A 26,932-nucleotide genomic window follows, 5' to 3' on the forward strand; every position below is an offset into this window, starting at 1 on the left:
AAATCTATGAACTCTCCTAATAATTGGAATGGCTTTCTATACTCACACTAAACTTTATATTTTCAAATAACAGCATACCTGTTTCACAGGCACTGATAAAAATATTAATATTATTAAATAATAAACCTCCTTTTCCCACTGCCTTTTGTCTACACAAGAAAATAAAAATGCCTCGACTGGATACAGCAATCTCTACAAAGTAATTCCATTACCTGCATTCTTAAAAACAAACAAACAAATCAAAAAAAGTTTAACTTCAGGGGTACAGGTGTAGATTTGTTACATAGGTAAACGTGTTTCATGGGGGTTGGTTGTACAGATTATTTCATTACCCAGATGTTAAGCCTAGTATCCATTGTTATTTTTCCTAATCTTCTCCCTCCTCTGATAGGCCCCAGCGTTTGTTGTTCTACTCTATGTGTCCATGTGTTCTTATCATTTAGCTCTCACTTATAAGTGAGAACACACAGTATTTGGTTTTCTGTTTTTCTGTTAGTTTGCTAAGGATAATGACCTCCAGCTCCATCCATGTCTCTGCAAAGGACATGATCTCATTCTTTTTATGGCTGCATAGTATTCCATGGTGTACATGTACCACATTCTATGATGTATATGTACCACATAAATGCTATCATTGATGACCATTTTAGTTGATTCTATGTCTTTGCTATTGTGAAGAGTGCTGCAACGAACATAGGCATGCATGTGTCTTTATAACAGAATGATTTATATTACTTTGGGTATCTACCCAGTAATGGGATTGCAGGATTAAAGAGTATTTCTGTCTTTAGGTCTTTCAGGAATCGCTACACTGTCTTCCACAATGATTGAATTAATTTACACTCCCAACAGTGAATAAGCATTTCCTTTCTCCACAACCTTATCAGAATCTTTTATTTTTTGACTTTTTAATATTAGCTATTCTGATTGGTGTGAGATGGTATCTCATTGTGGTTTTGATTTTCATTTCTCTAATGATTAGTGATGTTGAGCTTTTTTTTTCATATGATTACTGGCCACATGTATGTCTTCAGAAGTGTCTGTTCATGGTTTTTGCTCACTTTTCAACGAGGTTGCTTGGTTTTTCCCTTGTAAATTTGTTTAAGTTCCTGATAGACATTAAATATTAGGCCTTTGTGAGATGCATAGATTTCAAATATTTTATGCAATCTGTTTGTCTGTTTACTCTGTTGATAGTTTCATTTCTTGTGCAGAAGCTCTTCAATTAGATCTCACTCATTAATTTTTGCTTTTGTAACAGTTGTTTTTGGCATCTTCATCATGAAATCTTTGCACATGCCTACATCCTGAATGATATTGCCTAGGATGTCTTCCAGGGTGTTTATAGTTTTGGATTTTACATATAAGTCTTTAATCCAGCTTGAGTTAATTTTTGTATATGGTGTAAGAAAGACATATGGCTAGCCAGTTACCCCAGCACCATTTTTTTGAAAAGGGAATCTTTTCTCCATTGTTTGTTTGTATCATGTTTGTCCAAGATCAGATAGTTGTAGGTGTGCATTCTTATTTCTGAGTTCTTTAATTCTGCTCCATTGCTCCATGTGTCTTTTCTTCCACCAGTACCATACTGTTTTAGTAACTGTAGGCCTGTAGTATAGTTTGAAGTGAGGTAGTATGATGCCTCCATCTTTGTTCTTTTTTGCTTAGGATTGCCTTGTCTATTTGGGCCCTTTTTTTTGGGGGGGGGGGGTTTCTGTTCCTGTGTTTGCTAAGGATAATGGCCTTGAGCTCCATTAATGTCCCTACAAAGGACATGATCTCATTCTTTTTTATGGCTGCATAGTATCCCACGGGTGTAGGTACTACATTTTCTTTATCTAGTCTATCACTGATGGGCATTTAATTTATTTCATGTCTTTGCTATTGTGAATAGTGCTGCAGCAAACATACATATGCAGGTGTCTTTATAACAGAATTTTGAAACAGTTTTTTTCTAGATCTGTGAAGAATGTCAATGGCAGTTTAATGTGAATTACACTGAATATATTAGTTGCTTTGGAAAGTATGGCAATTTTAATGATACTGATTTTTCCTATCCGTGAGCATAGAATGTTTTTCCATTTCTTTTTGCCACCACTGATTTATTTGAGCAGTGATTTGTTGAGATTTTTTACCTTCCTTGTTAGTTGTATTTCTAGGTATTTTGTTCTTTTTGTGGCAATTGTGAATGGGAGTTGATTCATAATTTGGCTCTCGGCTTGACAATTGTTGGTGTATAGGAATGCTAGTGATATTTGCACATTGACTTTGAATCTTGAGTCTTTCCTGAAGTTGCTTATCAGCTTAAGAAGATTTTGTGCTGAGATAATGAGGTTTTGTAGATATAGGATCATGTCACCTGCAAACAATGGTGATAGAGGTCATCCTTGTGTTGATTTTCAAGGGTAATGTTTCCAGTTTTTGCCCATTTAGCATGATGCTGCCTGTGGGGTTGTCATATATGGCACTTATTATTTTGAGTTATGTTCCTTCAATACCTAGTTCATTGAGAGTTTTTAACATGAAGGGATGTTAATTATTTTATGTTATTTCAAAACCTGAAATATACTTTTCTTTACTCCATCTCATCTCAACAACTGATTCTTCTTGTCAGCTTTACTGAGTAAAGTTGACAAATAAAACTGCATGTATTTAAGGCATAGGATTTGATGTTTTTGATACATGTGTACATTGTGAAATGATCACCACTATCAAGCAGATTAACATACTTATTCTTTAAATCCCATCTTAATTTTATTCCCTTCATAAATATGTACATTCAAATAGATGAGAATTTAATAGTTTCCTTTTCTACTTATTTTCAAAATTTATGATGAGTTTATCTAACTTATTTTCAATTTTTAATAATAATTTTCAATTATTATTGGCCAAAAAACGTCTCATGACCCTACGTGTGAGGGGGTAAGACATGCATTTTTTCATTCTGCCTAGAAGTAGAGAAAAACCAGATCTTGGTGAGCGCTGGAAGTCCCTACTATAATAGTGATATCATGCACTATTTCAAACAAATCAGAACATTTAATAGTTTGGGATTTTTATACCAAATTAAAATGGCCATGTGAAGATACTTTGTAACCTAAGATGGTGAGCATCTCCTTCATGTGAAGATTTCAAGCCTAGGCAGGATGTCTATCATTTATACAATATTTCTTCCAATTATTTAATAATTGCAAATTAACTCCAAACAAATAAGAATAAAAGAGCAGTCCACATATTTACATAATAATTGTATTTAGAAATTACTTCATTGAGAGGAAATTTTACTTTCCAACCAGGATTCTATAATTGATTTTCCATTTGCAGCCCTGTTATGTCAGATTAAAAAAAAATACTGCAAGTTCAATGTTTTTCTGAACAACTATCTCATTTATTTTAACTTCTTTAACCCAACACTTGAAAGATGCTTTTTATTTTGTTATATGAAAAATCTTTTCTTTATGCAATATAGAATCTAAGCCATGGTTTTATCCTGATTAGAATTTCAAACTTGCTAAAATGTGTGGAATATGACGAGAGGTTTTGTTACAGTTTTTTTTTATTATTATACTTTAAGTTTTAGGGTACATGTGCACATTGTGCAGGTTAGTTACATATGTATACATGTGCCATGCTGGTGCGCTGCACCCACTAACTCATCATCTAGCATTAGGTATATCTCCCAATGCTATCCCTCCCCCCTCCCTCCACCGCACCACAGTCCCCAGAGTGTGATATTCCTCTTCCTGTGTCCATGTGATCTCATTGTTCAATTCCCACCTGTGAGTGAAAATATGCGGTGTTTGGTTTTTTGTTCTTGCGATAGTTTACTGAGAATGATGATTTCCAATTTCATCCATGTCCCTACAAAGGACATGAACTCATCATTTTTTATGGCTGCATAGTATTCCATGGTGTATATGTGCCACATTTTCTTAATCCAGTCTATCATTGTTGGGCATTTGGGTTGGTTCCAAGTCTTTGCTATTGTGAATAATGCCGCAATAAACATACATGTGCATGTGTCTTTATAGCAGCATGATTTATAGTCCATTGGGTATATACCCAGTAATGGGATGGCTGGGTCAAATGGTATTTCTAGTTCTAGATCCCTGAGGAATCGCCACACTGACTTCCACAATGGTTGAACTAGTTTACAGTCCCACCAACAGTGTAAAAGTGTTCCTATTTCTCCACATCCTCTCCAGCACCTGTTGTTTCCTGACTTTTTAATGATTGCCATTCTAACTGGTGTGAGATGGTATCTCATTGTGGTTTTGATTTGCATTTCTCTGATGGCCAGTGATGGTGAGCATTTTTTCATGTGTTTTTTGGCTGCATAAATGTCTTCTTTTGAGAAGTGTCTGTTCATGTCCTTTGCCCACTTTTTGATGGGGTTGTTTGTTTTTTTCTTGTAAATCTGTTTGAGTTCATTGTAGATTCTGGATATTAGCCCTTTGTCAGATGAGTAGGTTGCGAAAATTTTCTCCCATTTTGAAGGTTGCCTGTTCACTCTGATGGTAGTTTCTTTTGCTGTGCAGAAGCTCTTTAGTTTAATTAGATCCCATTTGTCAATTTTGGCTTTTGTTGCCATTGCTTTTGGTGTTTTAGACATGAAGTCCTTGCCCACGCCTATGTTCTGAATGGTATTGCCTAGGTGTTCTTCTAGGGTATTTATGGTTTTAGGTCTAACGTTTAAGCCTTTAATCCATCTTGAATTGATTTTTGTATAAGGTGTAAGGAAGGGATCCAGTTTCAGCTTTCTACATATGGCTAGCCAGTTTTCCCAGCACCATTTATTAAACAGGGAATCCTTTCCCCATTGCTTGTTTTTCTCAGGTTTGTCAAAGATCAGATAGTTGTAGATATGCGGCGTTATTTCTGAGGGCTCTGTTCTGTTCCATTGATCTATATCTCTGTTTTGGTACCAGTACCATGTTACAGTTTTAAAAATATAGAGTGTTGAATAAAGTAGTGAGGTAGAGTGAATGTTGACCAATGAGCTTCTTTATACTGGAGAATGTCTACTGTAAAATCATGTGTTCATACTATTGATTAGTGGAAGATACTTGAAATCTAGAGTGTGGGAGATTAAGTAATATGTATGGATGGACTACGTTTTCACTGAACAAAGTGTCATAGAACCAAACCCAGCTTCAGGCAAAATGGATTATAAGGGTAACCCATAGATTTCTTACTGTCAGGCACCACCTCCCAAGTTAAAACCAGAGGAAAATAATGCATGCTTGATAGATATGCTACAGGAATTTAGTAACTAGAAAAGCCTGTAAGAGAAACAATAATGAACTCTGTAGCCATATTTGCTCAATTACCAGTACAATTTAGCAAACATACAAGTGCAATTTTCCATAACTGATTCTGAATATAGTAGTTTATATAATCATGTTACAATTTTTATAGGTGCATTTTCTGCCATAGGCAAATATTATTTTGATAAAAATAGACCCATTTTTACTTATTAAGTATTAGTTCTTGTGAAGAACCTTAAGAAAGCAGAAATTGTTTTCTTGTTCTCTGGAAAGATCAATGAAAATAATTTCTAATTAGTACATTTGTTACTAAGCTTTTTTTCCCCTAAAAATAGGCTTTCTTAAATGAGTTAAACTTTCCTTAGATATTACTAGCTAAACTTGTACCAAAAATATATGTAAACTTTTTTAAATTACAATATATGATTTTAAATGAGACCATATACCAAGCTTTACTCTAATAAAGTTTCCTGAGCTCTAACATAACCTAGTATAGTCTAGATATTAATATGTCTGTGTCAGAATAAATAACAAATGCATGCTACTTCACTTCCTGTTTCTTCTCAGCTTCATAACTAACCTCTCCTTCCCACTTCCATTTCACACTAACACAATCATGCTCATTTATAGAGACTTCCTGTTTGCTGTCAATAAATTGTCCCATAATAAGTTTAAAGCATTCCATCTCTTTTACCCTCAAACCCCACACCAATAAAGAGGGAAAGCATTAACTATGCACTAAAATAAATATTATTAAGAATTAAAGTTTAAGTAAATTGTATAATTTGTTCAAGCTCATGGAGTAAATTCTAGTACCTATTTACTCATTGAAAGTGAGTTATAGTTTATGTGATTGTACTTTTTTTGCTTAGGTGTAAATTATTTTTCAATATTAAATATTTTTATTATACCCTTAGTTTACAAAAGAAGTAATTTGGATAAAGAATGCTTTAACAAATTTAATATGATTTTGTATTTTTCAGAATATTATAAATTCTATGATCTTTTGATCTTCAAAATTAAAAGTAATGAAAAAATATCAAAATGTAGGTTATGTTACATATAAGGAAATTAGCAATTAGGAAAATAAATAAATTGCTAAAAGTTAATCTGCTGCCTGTAACCTGTAATAGTGATCCCCAATCAGCATGTATTTCACTAGATCATACTGGTTTCTTTCAGGTATATAACTATTTTAAATAAAGAAGTAATTTAATTGCCCAAAGGAAAAAAGATTGATTATATTGGGAGACTTTAATTATATCCTATATCCCAACAAAGTATAATGGATTGTTATAGATTTTAGTTTGATTTTGGAAATTATCTCACATATTATGTTATTTCACCCATTTTATAAATTGGTACATACCAAATTATGAATCTGGAATTTCAATCTAGGTTAATCTAACAAAAATGCAGTGCAAGTTTTAGTATTTCACTAATTGTAGATCAAGAATGACCAAAGTGCATTGTAAAAGAATCAATAAAATACTCAAATTTTTGAAAAGAAAGCAAAGTAAAAGCACTAATATCTACTGACTATTTAGAAATGCATTACTTATATAGTATAAAATTTTCAGTGATTTTCTTTGAGAACAGACTGTCCTATCCCGGTAACAGTTTTCTCCTTCCCCAAACTGCTATTCTTATCACATCCCTTTAGTTTTAATGTATTTCTTATGGAGTTTAAATGTATTTCTTATTCATAAAATAATTTCAAATATGATCCATAAACTGGTCTTCAAGTACAGTGACAGACACATGGAAAAAATTCATTCAATACAAACTTCTATTATAAATGGGAAACCGTGGGCTCACATTTTCTGTTTGCAGAATGCATTTTGTACAGATGTAATTTTTACTAGGTGGAAATTGAGTGTACTATGTGCCTGGTTATTTATTATTTCATGGCTTTAAATATCAGAATTCTGTTCACTTTTTATTATTTATTTAGTTATTTATTTTTGACATGGTGTCTTGCTCTGTTGCCCAGGCTAGAATGCAGTGGCGTAATCTTGTGATTTTGATTCACTGCAACCTCCACCTCCTGGGTTCAAGCAATTCTCCTGCCTCAGCCTCCTAAGTAGCTGGGATTACAGGCATGTGCCACCATGCCTAGCTAATTTTTGTATTTTTAATAGAGATGGGATTTCACCATATTGGTCAGGCTGGTCTTGAACTCCATGCCTCAGGTGATCCACCCACCTTGGCCTCCCAAAGTGCTAGGATTACAGGCATGAGCCGCCGCACCCAGCTCATATCAGAATTATTTATAAAAGTGTCTCAAGGAGAAGCATTCAATATACTTTGCTGTGACTTCAATCTGTGGCTTTTTTGAACAACTGGCTTCAGCCTTCTCAGAGTAGACAGATCCTGACCATGCAGTGACAGCAGGAAACACGTTTGAGTGTTGTCTTTTTGGTGGCAATTCAATAATATGTAACAAAGAACATCTATGGTATGCAGTGAAACCATATCAGACAACATGGAGGTGTTATTTTCGATACATTGCAGCTATCATTTAACTGACCTTTTATTCCTCTTCTGTTGATTGATTTTCAAACATTTATCTCCTACTGACAATACTTAAATAAACAATCTCATGTTTCTCACTGTGTACATATGCAAGCGTTTCTCTAGTGTACATACCTAAAAGTCCTATTGCTGTGTAACAACATATATATGTATATAAAAATTTGTTATAGTATATTTTATAGTTTTCTATTCAATTGAAATAACGTAATACAAAAAAAAGTGACATATGTCAGTGCTGGAGTGATGGATCCCAGTCAATTTTTCCTTAGAAGCTACTCATGCTTTTAAGTAATGTAATGTTTGTCATTTTCCTCTTCATTACATGCAGTCCATTTACAGTTGACAACATCTCATTCATTGCTGTTCACAGTTCAGTTACAGATATTAGCTGTCAATCATGTAAAACTTTTGCTTCGTCGTCTTTCTTCAGACATACAGATATGAAAATCATCGGGCAGGCCAATAAATAAATGATGCAAGAAAACAAATAACTCATTGGGCCTTTGGGTTTATTATTTGTAAAATAATTTGATTATTAAATTCCTCCATTAGATTAAATATGGCCATTGAATCTTTGGTTCTATACCTTTTAAAGGGTGAATCTTATTTCTCCCAACTCTTTCTTGATCTTGCAACTTGCTCTAATATAAAGCAACAGTAATAATATTAAGAGGTTTCCAAGACTCATTTTCAGGAGGCATTGGGGCTTCAGCTCTTACATTTTTGGAACCTGACGCCACCAGAGAATGAAGATGATTGGGATGAAAGACCATGTGGAGAAAGACTCACCCATTCCACTGAATCCATCCATTCCACCGAATCCACCTATTCCACCAAATCCACCCATTCCATTTCATCTTCTAGACAACCTCAGGCACATTAGTAAAGCCAGGCAAGATCAGCAGAATTATCAAGGCAACCTATATAATCAGAAAAAATATTAAGACTGCAATGAGTGAAGTCATTGTTTTAATCCACTGTATAGCCATAGATAAATGCAATTCTCCCTTTTGGTATTATAGAAATTAAACATAATATGGCCAGGCATGGTGGCTCACGCCTGTAATCCAGCACTCAGGGAGGCCGAGATGGGTGGATCATGAGGTCAGGAGATCAAGACCATCCTGGCTAACATGGTGAAAACCCATCTCTACTAAAAATACAAAAAATTAGCTGGGTGTGGTGGTGGGCACCTGTAGTCCCAGCTACTCGGGAGGCTGGGGCAGGAGAATGGCGTGAACCAGGGAGGCGGAGCTTGCAGTGAGCCGAGATCATGCTACTGCACTCCAGCCTGGGCAACAGAGCGAGACTCCATCTCAAAAAAAAAAAAAAAAGAAATTAAAGATAATATTTATCTGGTAATTTGATACATGCTTTTCTATTAATTTTTATTAAAAATTAATTCCATCTCTGGGTTATTTTTTCTGTAACCCATTACCTCCTTATCAAAATTAATTACATGTCAAATAATTTTATTTGTAATAATATTAAGCATTAATAACCATTATTATTTAAATAATATTTGTTATGAATAGCAACTTTATTCATTTCACCCTCCAATTTATAAATTCTAAATCCCATTTTGAAAACTTATTAAACTTTATTGCTTATTATATTTTCATATTAAATAATTTAAATATGCTCTTATATTGGTTGCTTTATTACTCACAGCTTAGCTCCATTTTGGAACTATTAACCCACATGCAGATGTCACATTGCAACATTGCTGTCACCATACACAAACCCTGCCTTTGTTTTTCTTGTCTTAGGAAAGGTTCGACTTATGTGGTACATTTCAAACAGACATATGAAAATCCCAGTGGGCAAATGGAAATGTAAATACCTTCAACGTGGCCACTTGGTTAAACTTGGTATATTCAGCAAATGGCATCCACAGAAGCTGACATTTAAGCATAATGAATTATGCATAAGTGAACAAGGCCCTTCTGGGTTGATGATAGCAGAGGTTTCACTTGTGGCTCAGTTTTGGAATTGAAATTACAAAGTAATTATAACCCTGCTCAGACATTTGCACATTGTCTTTTCAGACCAGATTTCAGTCTATTCAACAGGCACTATACCAAAGATCTATCACTACTATGCTAATGAAATAGGAGAAATGTTCCTTTTTTATTATATTTTTTGGATCCAATGAGGAAATCCAACGCTCCTGAGAAAACTTGTCTGGTTATTAAAAGTTTCTTGTTTTTGTACTTCATCCAAGTGTTTAAAATCTCGAAACACTGGAATAATGCTATGGCTTAAAATAAGAAACAATCCTCACCTGCCACTCTTAGGCTCAGCAAAAGTCAAGACTTGGCATAGCTATTTGCAATCATGGGATTAGAAATGTCATCTAAGCTTATCATTGGCCACTGTTTACATGTGGTCTGGGAAACTGAAATGAATTATAACAATTATAAAAATTTACTGTAGGTGAATCATTCTTCCCGTTGAATAAGAAAGGAAACTAAAATTTAAATATTTTATCAAATATTACACTGCTTAAAAGGACAATTATAAAATTGAACTGAAATCTATTCAATTCAAAACTATTCTGTTTCCCACCATGTTTTTTATTTCTGACATTCTCTTAATTTCTTTAGTGTTAGACATATTTACCTGAGCTATTGTTGATTAAAAGGTATATTATAATTATATAATTATGTTTGTCGCTCAAATATCCTATAAATGTATATTTATAGGTATTATTACATTATATATGAAATAGTTGGAAATAAAATTCTTAAAATTCTAAATTATCTATTTTTATGCATGTTCCATACATAAACATATTGTATGTGAGATGCTACTTCTATATTCAATAAACATTTTTTTGATTTTAGACTTCTTCGACAAATTTTTATTTTCCATGTCCAGTTAATACCTGCACAATGTAAATCACTCTGGTAGACAAAACCATGAGGCAAAGGGAGTAGAAAAGTTTATTTTTACTTGTAAACCTCCCTCGTAGTCAATAAGGAAGCCTGAAAAATGGAATCCAGCATTTGAACTACTTAAAATTCCTTGGATCAAAGTAGGCAGATAGCTATTACAATCATTCAAAGCTCATAGCACTTTAATATGAAATTTAATTGAAGACATATTTTAAATTAGATGTGCAGTTTATGAGCTTGTTCAAAATAGTGTAAGATTTAATAATTTTAAAAGTATTTTTTAGTAAAACTTGAAAATTTTTTGTTTCAAAATATATCCCTCATCCTGGTAATAATTCAGTTGCATAAAGAAGGCAGAAAACTTTGTTTGCAAAATCCTACATCCTATGTAGGGAGCAATTTGCAGAAAACACAGCCACATTACCCCAGAATAATTAAAATACATTTAGGCCGGGCATGGTGGCTCATGTCTGTAATCCTAACACTTTGGGAGGCTGAGGCAGCTAAATCATCTGAGGTCAGGAGTTCGAGAACAGCCTGGCCACATGGTGAAACCCTGTCTCTACTAAAAATACAAAAATTAGTCAGCCGTGATGGCGCGGGCCTGTAATCCCATCTATCTGGGAGACTGAGGCAGGAGATGGCTGGAATCCAGGAGGTAGAGACTGCAATGAGCGAAGATGACGCCACTGCACTCCAGCCTGGTGACAGAGCGGGACTCCATCTCAAAAAAAAAAAAAAAAAAAAAAGACATCTAAAGCTATTCCATATATATTAGATGCAACATTTAAGTATATTTTGTATGAGTATGTAAAATTTAATTTAATGGCACTAACCCTGACACTTATAGAGAAGACTATTGAGTGGTATTTTGTGGATCAAACTTGAATCACTTTTTAGATACCTTTTTAATGAATTACAAATAAATACACAAGAAAGGGTGAATCAATTGCACTTATACTTCAAAAAAAATCATCATGAAAACAAATTAGTTTTGAGGAGATTTTCTTATTACAGTCAATTTTATTTTGCCAAATTATCTCTTCAGCTCCTTTCCCAGAATAGGAATGATTTTTCCCCCTAGAGGAAGAATCTCAACACTCTACGAGCTAATTTGCTTATACCCTCTGCACAGCCAACAGGCATTTCCAGCATTAAAAGAAAATTTAAGGAAATCATTATTTCTTGTTTTACTGATCAAAATGTAAGCTTGTAACGTTCTGTTTTAACCCCTAACTGCATTTAGTGCATTTTAATATTGGAGCTTTGCATTTGTCCCCAACAATTTGTTTTTTTCCTATTCTGTTTCAGTCGGTGACTCAGCAACCTGTCTTGTATTCATTCACTCTTGGGCTATGTCCAGCCTCATCTCACTTTAAGGAATTGGAACTGTATCTTTGGACGCTGGACTCACAAAATTGTTTAGCAAACTGATGGATATTTTTAAGCCCAATCACTCAAACTATTCTGTTCATTATTTTCTTTTACATTTTTATTGAACTCTGATCACTTCTATAAACAGATTTGTCCCAATAGATTGTTTTATATAACTTAAAATCTCATAAACTGATTGCTGATCTCATTTATTATCCAGTACTATCTTAAATATATGTCATATATTGTATATGCACATGTATATGTATATTACTATACATATAACACACATAGATAAACTCATATAGTATATGTGTTCATAGCAATAACTAATAATTGAATGGTTATTTTTAGTGTATGCAGGCAACAACCTAAGCAATTTTTATTATCCTTTCACAATGCAGGCATTATTTCACACACTTTACACATGAAGAAACTAGTGTACATGTCATTTAAATTATCTTCTTAATTTCGTGCTGTTAGTAATTTAGAGAATAGAAATCAACTCACACAAACTGGACTTTCAAAAAATATTATTATACATACATAAATTCTAAGAAAAATTTAGAATCTTTCAAGTCATACATCGAAGACGGTGTTCCAAAGGCTTGTCCTAGGAGATAAGATTTTTGCCTTTGTTAGCAAGGTTCCCTGACATTGCTTCAAGGGAACACAGTTCTCTCTCATCACACCACAACTTCCCTGCAGTCAGGGTTTAGCTAGTAAGCTGGAAGCGAAGATTGCTATAGGCAGTAATGAGGAATGCCTCTAGCTTAGTTATAAGGCTTCTCAGAAATGGGAATACATTAAATTACTTCACATATTCTGTACCTTTTAGGGAAGGCTTGAAACTGATAATTCAAGAGAAAAATTTGCTGCTTAACTCCCAGTGTCCACTAGGTTTAAACAATCTCCATAGGTATATAACAATTTGAGTCTGAAGAACAGTAAAGAAGAGTAATTGTGACTTAAGAAATATTTTTTCCCTAATATGAGTCTATTTGGAAAATTATCTGTGTAATTTTATACTATAAATACAATTGTAATACTGTGTAAGAGCCATAGTCCCGTGGTATAATTTGTTTTCAATATAGGTATTTAACTGATTTTGGAATTATTTTATTTAACATTCTGAACAAAAATATACCATCTTCAAACATATTTGTAATACATAGATGACAAATATTAATAGCTAACATTAAGAAAATCATATATATCACTGATATCATAATAGGTACTACATAGATGTTTACCAAAAATTAAAAATTGGAGTTCTGGTCTTAAGTATTTAATTTTTTGTCCTCCTCTGAATGTAGCTGTAGTTTTGGTACAAGTTTAGCATGAAAAGAGTATACTAATCTGCAGTGTTCCGGATCTCAAATCATATGGCAAGAATTTTCTAGATTTTTAAGGTGTCTTCTGGAGGTTTATGTGTGTGTGTGTGTGTGTGTGTGTGTTTCATATATACATATTCATTTACATATATACAATTGTATTAAATCTTTATAAAAATATGTTAATATACATTAAATACATTTTAATATCATAAAGATGGTACTTAAAGCAGATTTTTAAATTTTTAGCAGCATATATTTGTATAGCTACTCTACTTTTAACTATCCTCATATTATCTATCCTCACATAATACTGTTATTCTGATAAGCTAAAATCTCCTCACAATAGCTTATTCTCAACTTTTAACTTATCGTTTACTTTAAAATATATTGTTCTTTTTCTCACAAAGGCAAAAAGCAAGATATGTTTTTCCTTATGAGATAAATAAAAACTATTTTGTTTAAAATTTTTCCTCTTATCAAGATGATAATTGTGCTATTTCATCATATTTCCTTTTTTCATGCTTTCTGTTGGCAAAATAATGAATACTTTTCAGTATCATTTCACTGAATGTAAAACTCCTACCTCTTGTTTTGACATGTTCCCAATGGCTATTCTCATAAATTTGATTTAATGTTTCTCTTATTTTCTTGCAAGTTAACATTGTAAATATGGCTAACATTTCAGAAGCAGTTGCAACAACTTCTATTTTATATGTACCTATAAACATGAATAATCTATTTTGAATATTATAATCAAGTTGACACTTATTTCAGAATTTTTCAAAAACATTTATTAAATATTTACTGAAAGATTATTACATTTAAGAAGCAAATTCTCTCTGGGAATAAATGGTGAGTAATAGCTTGACAGAATTTCTTTCCTTCTGATAACTCAAAACAAATTTATTTTTTAGTGGAGGGGAGGGCAGAGAAAACACTGGAATTCAACAGAGAAGTGACAGAAAACACCTAAGGCAAAGAAGAGAGAAGTAAGTGAGACTGTTTAGCCAGGATGGGCTGGCTGGGAGCCTGCTCTCCAATGCAGAGGAACTGTAAAAAAAAAAAAAAAAAAAAAAAAAAAAAAAAGTGACCCTCAGGGCCGGGCGTGGTGGCTCATGCCTGTAATCCCAGCACTTTGGGAGGCCGAGGCGGGTGGATCACAAGGTCAAGAGATTGAGACCATCCTGGCCAACATGGTGAAACCCCGTCTCTACTAAAAATACAAAAATGAGCTGGGCGTGGTGGTGCGCACCTGTAATCCCAGCTACTCCGGAGGCTGAGGTAGGAGAATTACTTGAACCCGGGAGGCGGAGGTTGCAGTGAGCCGAAATCCCGCCACTGCGCTCCAGCCTGGTGACAGACTGAGGCTCCGTTTCAATAAATAAATAAATAAATAAGTGACCCTCAGTACTCCACATTCCCACTGTAGATTCCTGCAATTCTAGCCACAGGGCAACTATTGACCCAGGTGGCCCCTGAAATTAACATAGGAGCTGCCTAGAAACTATGCCACGGTATTTCTCTGGAGACGGAACTCCAGCTAGGTCCCAATGTCCAAATCTTAAGCAGCTACAGCAGGGCACTATTTGAGACCCTAGGTCCATCAGATTGCATCCTTTCCTGAGGCTAAAAACCCCTTGAATTTTCACATCCCTGGAGCCCCACTGACATCCCCTGCCTACCGCCAAGCACTGCTGGCTGTTTTTGCCAGGACTGAAGCACAAGCCAGTGGCAGCAAACTCACTATGCATTTATAAGCGCCTTGAGGACAGGCTATCCAGCTCACAGCCACAATCTAGGATCAAAGCTCATATTCCTTAGCCACATATTCGTGGCCACTGCCACTTAAAGCCACCTCACCCTTTTTAGCAGCAGGGCCAAAGTAAAGTTACTGTGATCGCCACCTGAGCATTCCACTTGGGGCACCCAACCCACGCCTACCACTGCCAGGGTCTACAGGCACTATTGTGCACTACTGGGGGACCTGAGGCCAGATCTTTCTAGGCTGGCTCCACCCACTTAGTGCCCAAACACACGATCTAGGGGTATGGGAATCCCCATGCTACATCCAGCACCATTGGCACCTGAGCACAAGTGACATCTACCTGCATTCTTTATCTGTTGGCCCACAGACTGGCTGCCCAGGTCATCACAGCTACTGCCAACTACCACATGGAAAGCTTGAGAGCCAGAAAATTGTCCAGCCACTGCTACTGCCATTGCCTCTGCCATACCTGCTGCCCAAAATCTTGAGGACCCACCACCTACCTAGCCCATTGCTGCCACTGCTGACACCTATGTAAGCCGCCTGGACGTCCAAGAACTGGTCTGCAGTATATGCACTGCATACACTGCACTGGGGCCAAAGGACAGGCATGCTTGGCCCACAACTTCTATCGCTAGGTCTTGAGAACTGTCCTAAATGACTTCCTTGTGTCCAGCAAAAATTCACAGCAGTCTCCACTAAAAACCTTACCATAAGCCACTGAGACAATCAGAGCCTCTATTGTCACTGTTTATAGCAAAAGTAATCATATGGATACTATACTACTGCAGTCACCCAGAATCAAAGTCAAAGTGCCCTATCCAACCAATATCATAGATACATCTTCAGTAAAAAGTCCACTCCTATGAAAAGAAATTCAAAAAATTGGAATAAGTAATTGTTACACCAGATGCACAAACATCAACATAAGGACACAAGAAACACAAGCAAGGAAATATCATTCCAGATAACTCAGATAAGCAATGCCATGAAATCAGCAAAAGAAGCCACAATATAAAATAAATTTACCGAAAAGATAGTTATCCTAAAAAAGAATCAAACAAAAATTATGGAGCTAAAGATGTCATTAAATGAAATGCAAAATACACTCAAAAGCTTCAACAATAAACTAGATCAGGTCGAAAAAAGATTGAGAACATGAAGACAGGTCTTTTCAAATAATCCAGTCAGATAAAAATTAAGAAATAAGGATAAAAAAGAATAAAGCCTATGTGACGTATGAAACACTATAAAGCAATCAAATATTTAAATTGTTAGAAGGCAAACAGAAGGCAAAAAGAAAATTAAAGTAATAGAAAGCTTATTTAACTAAATAATAGCTGAAAATTTCACTCTAGAAGACATTTAGAAAGAGAAAACTCAAAGAACTCCAATACATATAATTTAAGTCTTCTTCACTGCACTTTATAGCCAAATTGTCTAAAGTAAATAATAAAGAGAGAGTTTCACAAACTTGAAGAGAAAAGTGACTACTAATTTTTAAGAGAACCCCCATTAGACTAACAGCAAATTTCTCAGCAGAATCATTACAGGCCAGGAGAAAATGAGATAATATTTCCAACGTGATGAAAGAAAAAGAAAACTTTCTGTCAAGGATACTATACCCACCAAAATTATACATAAATGACGAAGAAATAAAATATTTTTCACATGAGTAAAAGTAGAGCGAATTCATCACCACCTAACTGGCTGGACAAGACATTCGTAAGGGAGTACTGCACCTGGAAGCAAAAAGACAATATCTACTACCATGAATAAAACAATTAAAAAAAAAAAGCAAAAAAAAAAATTCACAGGTATAGCAAACACTCAAAAGAGGAAGAGACAGGGCTGAAGTATTACCACTACAGAAAATCATCAAACCACAATGAGAAAGAAAGAAACAAACAAAAACAATTAAAACAAACAAAATGAACAAATAATATTAAAAATAAATAATGGTGTATGTAGACTGAAAGAAAAGAGATTAAAAAAAGATACTCCATGTAAATGGAAACCATAAATCACCAAGAGTAGCCACATGTCTACCAGATAAAACATATTTGACTCAAAAAACATAACAGAGACAAAGAAGTTTATTATATAATGATAAAGAAATCACTTTAGCAAGAGGACATAATAATTCTAAGCACACATGCAAGCAACACTAGAGCACTTGGATATATAAGGCAAATATTATTAGATCTAATGGGAGAGAAAACTCCAATACAAAAATATTTGGGGACTTTGACACACCCTTCTCAGCATTATAAAGTTCATCTAGAAAGATAATTAACAGAGCAATTTTGGCTTTAAACTACACTTTGGAACAAATAGAACTAACAGATATTTAAAGAACATTTTATCCAAAAACTACAGAATACACAGAATACACATTCTTCTCATTAGCTCATGGAACATTCTACAGGATAGACCACATGATAAGCCATTAAGAAAGCATCAACAAATTTTTAAATATCAAAATATCAAATATCTTATTAGACCATGATAGAATAAAACTAGTAGTCAATAAAAAGAGGAATTTTGAAAACTATGAATATATATGGAAATTGAACAAGATGCTTTTGAATGTCCATTGTATCAAGGAAAAAAAATGAGGAGGAAATCAAAAAGTGTATTATGAAAAATAAAATTATAAACACAACACATCATACTTGATGAGATACAACAAAATGGTGCTAAGAGGGAAGCGTATTAACAATAAATGCCCACAACATAAAGTTGAAAGATTTCAAGTAAACAATCCAATGATGAACCTCAAGAAATCAAAAAAAGCAAGAACAAACTGAATCCAAAATTATTAGAAAGAAAGGAATAATAAAGATAAGGCAGACCTAAAAAAGCATAAAAACTTAATAAATAAAAAGGATCAACAAACGAAAAGTCAGTTGTTGATAAAGGTAACCAAATTAATAAACAACTAGCTAGACTAGTCAAGAAGAAAAGAGAGAAGACTCAAGTAAATAAAATCAGGAATGAAAAGAAAGATATTTCATCAGGCATCACAGAAATATAAAGACTATCAAAGACTATGTGAACAATATACACTAACAAGCTGGAAATCGTAGAGAAAATAGATAAATTCCTGGAAACATACAATCTAACAATATTGGATCAGTAAGAAACTGAAAACTTAAACAAGCTAATAATGAATAATTAAAACGAATCAGTAATAAAAAGTCTCCCAACAAAGAAAAGTTCAGGACCAGATGACTTCACAGCAGAGTCCTAACAATCTTACAAAGAAAAGCTAACACCAATTTTTCTCAAGCTATTATAAAAATTTGAATAGAGTAAAATTCTCCCTCCATCATTGTATGAAGCCAGCATTACCCTGATACCAAAACTACATAAGGATGCAACAACAACAGCAATACTACAGGCCAATATCCCTGATGAACATAGAAATAAAAATTCTCAATTGTGGGAAACCAAATCCAACAGCTCATCCAAAAGATAATACATTATGACCAAGTGAGATTTATCCCAGAGATTCAAAGATTGTTCAACATACACAAAATAATAAATGCAATAAAACACATCAACAAAAAAAGACAAAAACCAAATGATTTTCTCAATAGATACAGAAAAAAAGGATTTGATAAAATTCAACATTCCATCATCATAAACATTCTCAGCAAACTAGGCATGAAAGGAAAAATATCTCACCATAATAAATGCAATATATGACAAACCCAAAGCTAACATCATACTGAATGCGGGAAAACATAAAGCTTTTTCTGTAAGAACTGGAAAAAGACTAAGTTGCCCATTTTTACCACTCCTATTTAACATAGTACTGGAAGTCCTAAGCAAAGCAATAAGTAAAAGAATGAAATAAAAGATATTAAAATTGGAATAGAGAAAGTCAAATTGCCCCTCTTTGCAGATAATATTATATATATACATAAATAATCTATCAAAAAACTCTTAGATCTGATAAACTCAGTAATGTTGTGGAACACAAAATCAACATACAAACATCAATGATGTTTCAATACACCAATAATAAACTAGCTGAGAAGTAAATAAAGAAGGAAATCTCATTTTAAAAGCTACAAAAAAAAATACCTAGCAATAAATCCAACCAAGGAGGTGTAATACCTCTACAAGATAAACAATAAAAAAATCTATAAAATAAATTGAAGAATACAATAACAAATGGAAAGATATCCTATGCTCATGGGTTGGAAGAATTAACAGTGTCAAGATGATCATCCTGCCCAAAACAATCTACAAATTCAATGTAATCCCTATCAAAATACCAATGTCATTTATTTTACCAAAATAAGAAAAAAAAAATTATAAAATTTGTAAGAGACAAAAACAGCCCAAATAGCCAAAATAATCTCATGTAAGATGAACAAACCTGGAGACATCACACTAATTGACATCAAAATATTTTATAAGATTATAGTAATCAGCAGCATGGTATTGGTATAAAACCAGATACATAGACCAATGGAACAGAATAGAGAACAGAAAAATAAATTCAAATATTTATAGCCACCTGATTTTTAATAAAGGCACCAAGAACATACATTGGGGAAAGTACAGTATCTTCAATAAATGGTTCTGAGACAATTCAATATTCATATGCAGAGAAATGAAATTTGGCCGCTACCATTTACTATATACAAAAATCAATGGATAATGGATTAAATACTTAAACATAAAACCTACAACCATAAACTTACTAGCAGAAAAATTGAAGAAATATCAGGACGTTGGTCTAGGCAAAGATTTAATGGCTAAGACGTCAAAAGCACAAGCAACAAAACAAACAAAAATAGACAATGGAATTGCATTAAACTGAAAAAATCTTCTGTCACCACAGCGAGAAGAGCTAGAGAACCAAGAACAAACCAACTCCAAAGCTAGCAGAAAGCAAGAAGTAACCAAAATCAGAGCTTAACTGATAGAAATTGAGAAGAAAAACAAACAAACAACAACAAAAAAAATACAAAGATCAATGAATTCAGAAGTTGATTTTTAAAAGGAATAATAAGGAGAGTGTTAGATAGACTCATAAAGAAAATAGAATATCTCAAGAAACACCATAAGAAATTGCAATGGGGACATTACCACTGACCTCAAAGAAATAATAATAATAAAAATATCAGAGACTACTATGGACACATTTATGCAAACAAGCTAGAAAACCAAGAAAAAAAGTGATTAGTTCCTGGAAACATACACCCTTCCAAGGTTAAACCAGGAAGAAATTGAATACCTGAACTGACCAAAAAGTGAGTTCTAAAATTGAATCAGTAATACAAAGCTTACCAACCAGAAAAAAAAAAAAAAACAGAACTAGATGAAATCATTGCTGAATTCTATCGTATGTATAAAGAGTTAGTACCATTACTACTGAAACTACTCCAAAAAATTGAGGAGGAAGAACTTTAATGCATTCTATAAGGCAAGCATCATCCCAATACCAAAACCTGGCAGAGACATAACAAGAAAAGTGATGTCCATAATGAACATAGATGCAAAAATCCTCAACAAAATACTAGCAAACAGAATCCAGCAGCATATCAAAAAGCTAATACACCACAGTCAAGTAGGCTTTATCCCTGAAATGCAAGGTTGGTTCAACATATGCAAATCAATAAATGTGATTCATCAGGAAAACAGAACTGAAAACAAAAACCACATGATTATCTCAATAGAGGTTATACAAGCTTTTGAAAAAATTTAACACCTCTTTACATTAAAATCTTCAACAAACTAGGCATTAAAGGAATACACATCAAAATAAGAGACATCTATATCAGACCCACAATTAACAGCATACTGAATGGGCAAAAACCTGAAAGCATTCCCTTTGAAAATTGGAACAAAATAGTCTGTTCCAAGGTGGCTGAATAGGAACAGCTCCAGTCTGCAGCTGCCAATGTGATTGACACAGAAGACGGGTGATTTCTGCATTTCCAACTGAGGTACCTGGTTCATTTCACTGGGACTGGTTGGAAAGTGGGTGCAGCCCACGGAGGGTGAGCCAAAGCAGTGCGGGGCATCGCCTCACCCAGGAAGCACAAGGGGTCAGAGGATTTCCCTTTCCTAGCCAAGGGAAGCCGGGACAGACTGTACCAGGAAAATCAGGACACTGCCACATAAACACTGCGCTTTTCCAATGGTCTTAGCAAATGGCACACCAGGAGATTCTATCCCGTGCCTGGCTCACCAGGTCCCACACCCATGGAGCCTTGCTCACTGCTAGTACCAGATTGAACTGGGAGGCAGCAAGCCTGGCTGGGGGAGGGGCGTCTGCCATTGCTGAGGCTTGACTAGGTAAACAAAGCAGCCAGGAAGCTCGAACTGAGTGGAGCCCACTACAACTCAATGAGGCCCACCTGCCTCTGTAGACTCCACCTCTGGGGGCAGGGCATAGCTGAATAAAAGGCGGCAGAAATTTCTGCAGACTTAAACATCCCTGTATGACAGCTATGAAGAGAGCAGTGGTTCTCCCACCACAGTGTCTGAGCTCTGAGAACGGACAGACCACCTCCTCAAGGGGGTCCCTGACTCCCGTGTAGCCTAACTTGGAGACACCTCCCAGTAGGGGCCGACTGACACCTCATACAGCTGGGTGCCCCTCTGAGACGAAGCTTCCAGAGGAAAGATCAGGCAGCAATATTTGCTCTTCTGCAATATTTGCTGTTATGCAGCCCCCGCTGGTGATACCCAGGCAAACAGGGTCTGGAGTGGACCTCCAGCAAACTCCAACAGACCTGCAGCTGAGGGACATGACTGTTAGAAAGAAAACTAATAAACAGAAAGGAATAGCATCAACATACACAAAAAGGACATCCACACCAAAACCCCATCTGTAGGTCACCATCATCAAAGGCCAAAGGTAGATAAAACCACAAAGATGGGGAGAAACCAGAGCAGAAAAGCTGAAAATTCTAATAACCAGAGCACCCCTTCTCCTCCGAAGGATCGCAGCTCCTCGCCAGCAACAGAACAAAGCAGGGCAGAGAATGACTTTGATGAGTTGACAGAAGTAGGCTTCAGAAAGTCAGTAATAACAAACTTCTCCGAGCTAAAGGAGGATGTTCAAACCCATCACAAGGAAGCTAAAAACCTTGAAAAAAGATTAGATGAATGGCTAACTAGAATAAACAGTGTAGAGAAGACCTTAAATGACCTGATGGAGCCGAAAACCATGGCACAAGAACTACGTGATGCATGCACAAGCTTCAATAGCCAACCCAATCAAGTGGAAGAAAGGGTATCAGTGATTGAAGATCAAATTAATGAAATGAAGGGAGAAGAGAAGTTTAGAGTAAAAAGAGTAAAAAGAAAAAAAAAAAGAATCTAAGAAATATGGGACTATGTGAAAAGACCAAATCTACGTTTGATTGGTGTACATGAAAGTGACGGGGAGAATGGAACCGAGCTGGAAAACACTCTTCAGGATTTTATCCGGGAGAACTTCCCCAACCTAGCAAGGCAGGCCAACATTCAAATTCAGGAAATACAGAGAGCACCACAAAGATACTCCTCGAGAAGTGCAACCCCAAGACATATAATTGTCAGTTTCACCACGGTTGAAATGAAGGAAAAAATGCTAAGGGCAGCCAGAAAGAAAGGTCGCATTACCCACAAAGGGAAGCCCATCAGACTAACACCGGATCTCTCGGCAGAAACCCTACAAGCCAGAAGAGAGTGGAGACCAATATTCAACATTCTTAAAGAAAAGAATTTTCAACCCAGAATTTCATATCCAACCAAACTAAACTTCATAAATGAAGGAGAAATAAAATCCTTTACAGACAACCAAATGCTGAGAGATTTTGTCACCACCAAGCCTGCCTTACAAGAACTCATGAAGGAAGCACTAAACATGGAAAGGAAAAACCAGTACCAGCCACTACAAAAACATGCCAAATTGTAAAGACCATTGATGCTGGGAAGAAACTGCATCAACTAACAGGCAAAATAACCAGCTAACATCACAATGACAGGATCAAATTTACACATAACAATATTAACCTTAAATATAAATGGGCCAAATGCCTCAATTAAAAGACACAGACTGGCAAATTGGATAAAGAATCAAAACCCATCAGTGTGCTGTATTCGGGAGACTCATCTCACATGCAAAGACACACTTAGGCTCAAAATAAAAGGATGGAGGAAGATCTACCAAGCAAATGGAAAACAAAAAAAGGCAGGGGTTGCAATCCTAGTCTCTGATAAAACAGACTTTAAACCAACAAAGATCAAAAGAGACAAAGAAGGCCATTACATAATGGTAAAGGGATCAATTCAACAAGAAGAGCTAACTATCCTAAATATACAAGCACCCAATACAGGAGCACCCAGAGTCATAAAGCAAGTCCTGAGAGACACAGACTCTTTTTAGTTAGTTAGTTATTATTATTTAATATTATTAATATTAATATTAAATATTAACTAACGTTAATATTTAGTTATATTATTAATAATAATAATAACAGGAGACTTTAACACCCCACTGTCAATATTAGACAGATCAATGAGACAGAAGGTTAACAACGATATCCAGGACGTGAACTCAACTCTGCACCAAGCAGACCTAATAGACATCTACAGAACTCTCCACCCCAAATCAACAGAATATGCATTCTTCTCAGCACCAGATTGCACTTATTCCAAAACTGACCAGGTAGTTGGAAATAAAGCATTCCTCAGCAAATGTAAAAGAACAGAAATCACAACAAACTATCTCTCAGACCACAGTGCAATCCAATTAGAACTCAGGATTAAGAAACTCACTCAAAACTTCACAGCTTCATGGAAACTGAACAACCTGCTCCTGAATGACTACTGGGTAAATAACAAAATGAAGGCAGAAATAAAGATGTTCTTTGAAACCAATGAGAACACAGACACAACGTAACAGAATCTCTGGGACACATTTAAAGCAGTGTGTAGAGGGAAATTTATAGCACTAAATGCCAACAAGAGAAAGCAGGAAAGATCTAAAATCCACACCCTAACATCACAATTAAAGGAACTAGAGAAGCAAGAGCAAACACATTCAAAAGCTAGCAGAAGGCAAGAAATAACTAAGATCAGAGCAGAACTGAAGGAGATAGAGACACAAAAATCCCTTCAAAAAATGAGTGAATCCAGAAGCTGGCTTTTTGAAAAGATCAACAAAATTGATAGACTGCTAGCAAGACTAATAACGAAGAAAAGAGAGAAGAATCAAATACATGCAATAAAAAGTGATAAAGGGGATATCACTACCCATCCCACAGAAACACAAACTACCATCAGAGAATACTATAAATACCTCTACGCAAATAAACTAAAAAATCTAGAAAAAAGGATAAATTCATGGACACATACACCCTCCCAAGATTTAACCAGGAGAAGTGGAATCACTGAATAGACCAATAACAGGCTCTGAAATTGAGGCAATAATTAATAGCCTACCAACCAAAAAAAGTGCAGGACCAGATGGATTCACAGCCAAATTCTACCAGAGGTACAAAGAAGAACTGGTACCATTCCTTCTGAAACTATTCCAATCAATAGAAAAAGAGGGAATCCCTCCCTAACTCATTTTATGAGGCCAGCATCATCCTGATCCCAAAGCCTGGCAGAGACACAACAAAAAAAGAGAATTTTAGACCAATATCCCTGATGAACATCGATGCAAAAATCCTCAATAAAATACTGGCAAACCGAATCCAGCAGCACATCGAAAAGCTTATCCACCAAGATCAAGATGGCTTCATCCCTGGGATGCAAGGTTGGTCCAACATATGCAAATCAATAAACGTAATCCATCAAATAAACAGAACCAAAGACAAAAACCACATGATTATCTCAATAGATGCAGAAAAGGCCTTGAACAAAATTCAACACCCCTTCATGCTAAAAAAATCTCAATTAACTAGGTATTGATGGAACGTATCTCAAAATAATAACTATTTATGACAAACCCACAGAGCCAGTATCATGCTGAACAGACAAAAACTGGAAGCATTCCCTTTGAAAACAGGCACAACACAGGGATGCCCTCTCTCACCACTCCTATTCAACAGTGTTGGAAGTTCTGGCCAGGGCAGTTAGGCAAGAGAAAGAAATAAAGAGTATTTAATTAGGAAAAGAGGAAGTCAAATTATCCCTGTTTGCAGATGATATGATTGTATATTTAGAAAACCCCATCATCTCAGCCCAAAATCTCCTTAAGCTGATAAGCAACTTCAGCAAAGTCTCAAGATACAAAATCAATGTGCAAAATCACAGGCATTCCTATCCACCAATAACAGACAGAGAGCCAAATCATGAGTGAACTCCCATTCACAATTGCTTCAAAGAGAATAAAATACCTAGGAATCCAACTTACAAGGGATGTGAAGGACCTCTTCAAGGAGAACTACAAACCACTGCTCAAGGAAATAAAAGAGGATACAAACAAATGGAAGAACATTCCATGCTCATGGGTAGGAAGAATCAATATCGTGAAAATGGCCATACTGCCCAAGGTAATTTATAGATTCAATGCCATCCCCATCAAGCTACCAATGACTTTCTTCACAGAATTAGAAAAAAAACTACTTTAAAGTTCATATGGAACCAAAAAAGAGCCCACATTGCCAAGACAATCCTAAGCAAAAAGAACAAAGCTGGATGCATCATGCTACCTGACTTCAAACTATACTACAAGGCTACAGTAACCAAAACAGCATGGTTCTGGTACCAAAACAGAGATATAGACCAATGGAGCAGAACAAAGGCCTCAGAAATAACACCACACATCAACAACCACCTGATCTTTGACAAACCTAAGAAAAACAAGAAATGGGGAAAGGATACCCTATTTAATAAATTGCGCTGGGAAAACTGGCTAGCCATATGTAGAAAGCTGAAACTGGATCCCCTCCTTAAATCTTATACAAAAATTAATTCAAGATGGATTAAAGACTTAAATGTCAGACCTAAAACCATAAAATCCCTAGAAGAAAACCTATGCAACACCATTCAGGACATAGGCATGGGCAAAGACTTCATGACTAAAAACACCAAAGGCAATGGCAACAAAAGCCAAAATTGACAAATGAGATCTAATTAAACTAAAGAGCATCTGCACAGCAAAAGAAACTACCATCAGAGTGAACAGGCAACTTGCAGAATGGGAGAAAATTTTTGCAATCTACTCATCTGACAAAGGGCTAATATCCAGAATCTACAAAGATCTTAAACAAATTTACAAGAAAAAATCAAACAACCCCATCAAAAAGTGGGCAAAGGTTATGAACAGACACTTTTCAAAAGAAGATATTTATGCAGCCAACAGACACATGAAAGAATGCTCATCATCACTGGTCATCAGAGAAATGCAAATCAAAACCACCATGAGATACCATCTCACACCAGTTAGAGTGGTGATCATTAAAAAGTCAAGAAACAGCAGGTGCTGGAGAGGATGTGGAGAAATAGGAACACTTTTACACTGTTGGTGGGACTGTAAACTAGTTCAACCATTGTGGAAGACAGTGTGGAGATTCCTCAAGGATCTAGAACTAGAAATACCATTTGACCCAGCCATCCCATTACTGGGTATATACCCAAAGGATTATAAATCATGCTACTATAAAGACACATGCACACATATGTTTATTGTGGCACTATTCACAATAGCAAAGACTTGGAACCAACCCAAATGTCCATCAATGATAGACTGGATTAAGAAAATGTGGCACATATGTACCATAGAATACTATGCAG

General features: G+C 35.3%; 1 long non-coding RNA gene across 2 annotated transcripts in view; it reads right to left on the reverse strand.

The window, feature by feature from the left end:
* LOC105370214 (uncharacterized) overlaps window positions 1–26,932 on the reverse strand; it is a 477,307-nt gene that overhangs the window by 349,339 nt on the left and 101,036 nt on the right. For both annotated transcript variants that reach the window (XR_941977.3, XR_941978.2), the window contains exon 2: window positions 8,592–8,722. This is a non-coding gene — a long non-coding RNA (uncharacterized LOC105370214). The remainder of the gene's footprint in view (window positions 1–8,591; window positions 8,723–26,932) is intronic.

This window comes from Homo sapiens, chromosome 13 (genome assembly GCF_000001405.40).
Source record: "Homo sapiens chromosome 13, GRCh38.p14 Primary Assembly".
NCBI lineage: Eukaryota > Metazoa > Chordata > Mammalia > Primates > Hominidae > Homo > Homo sapiens.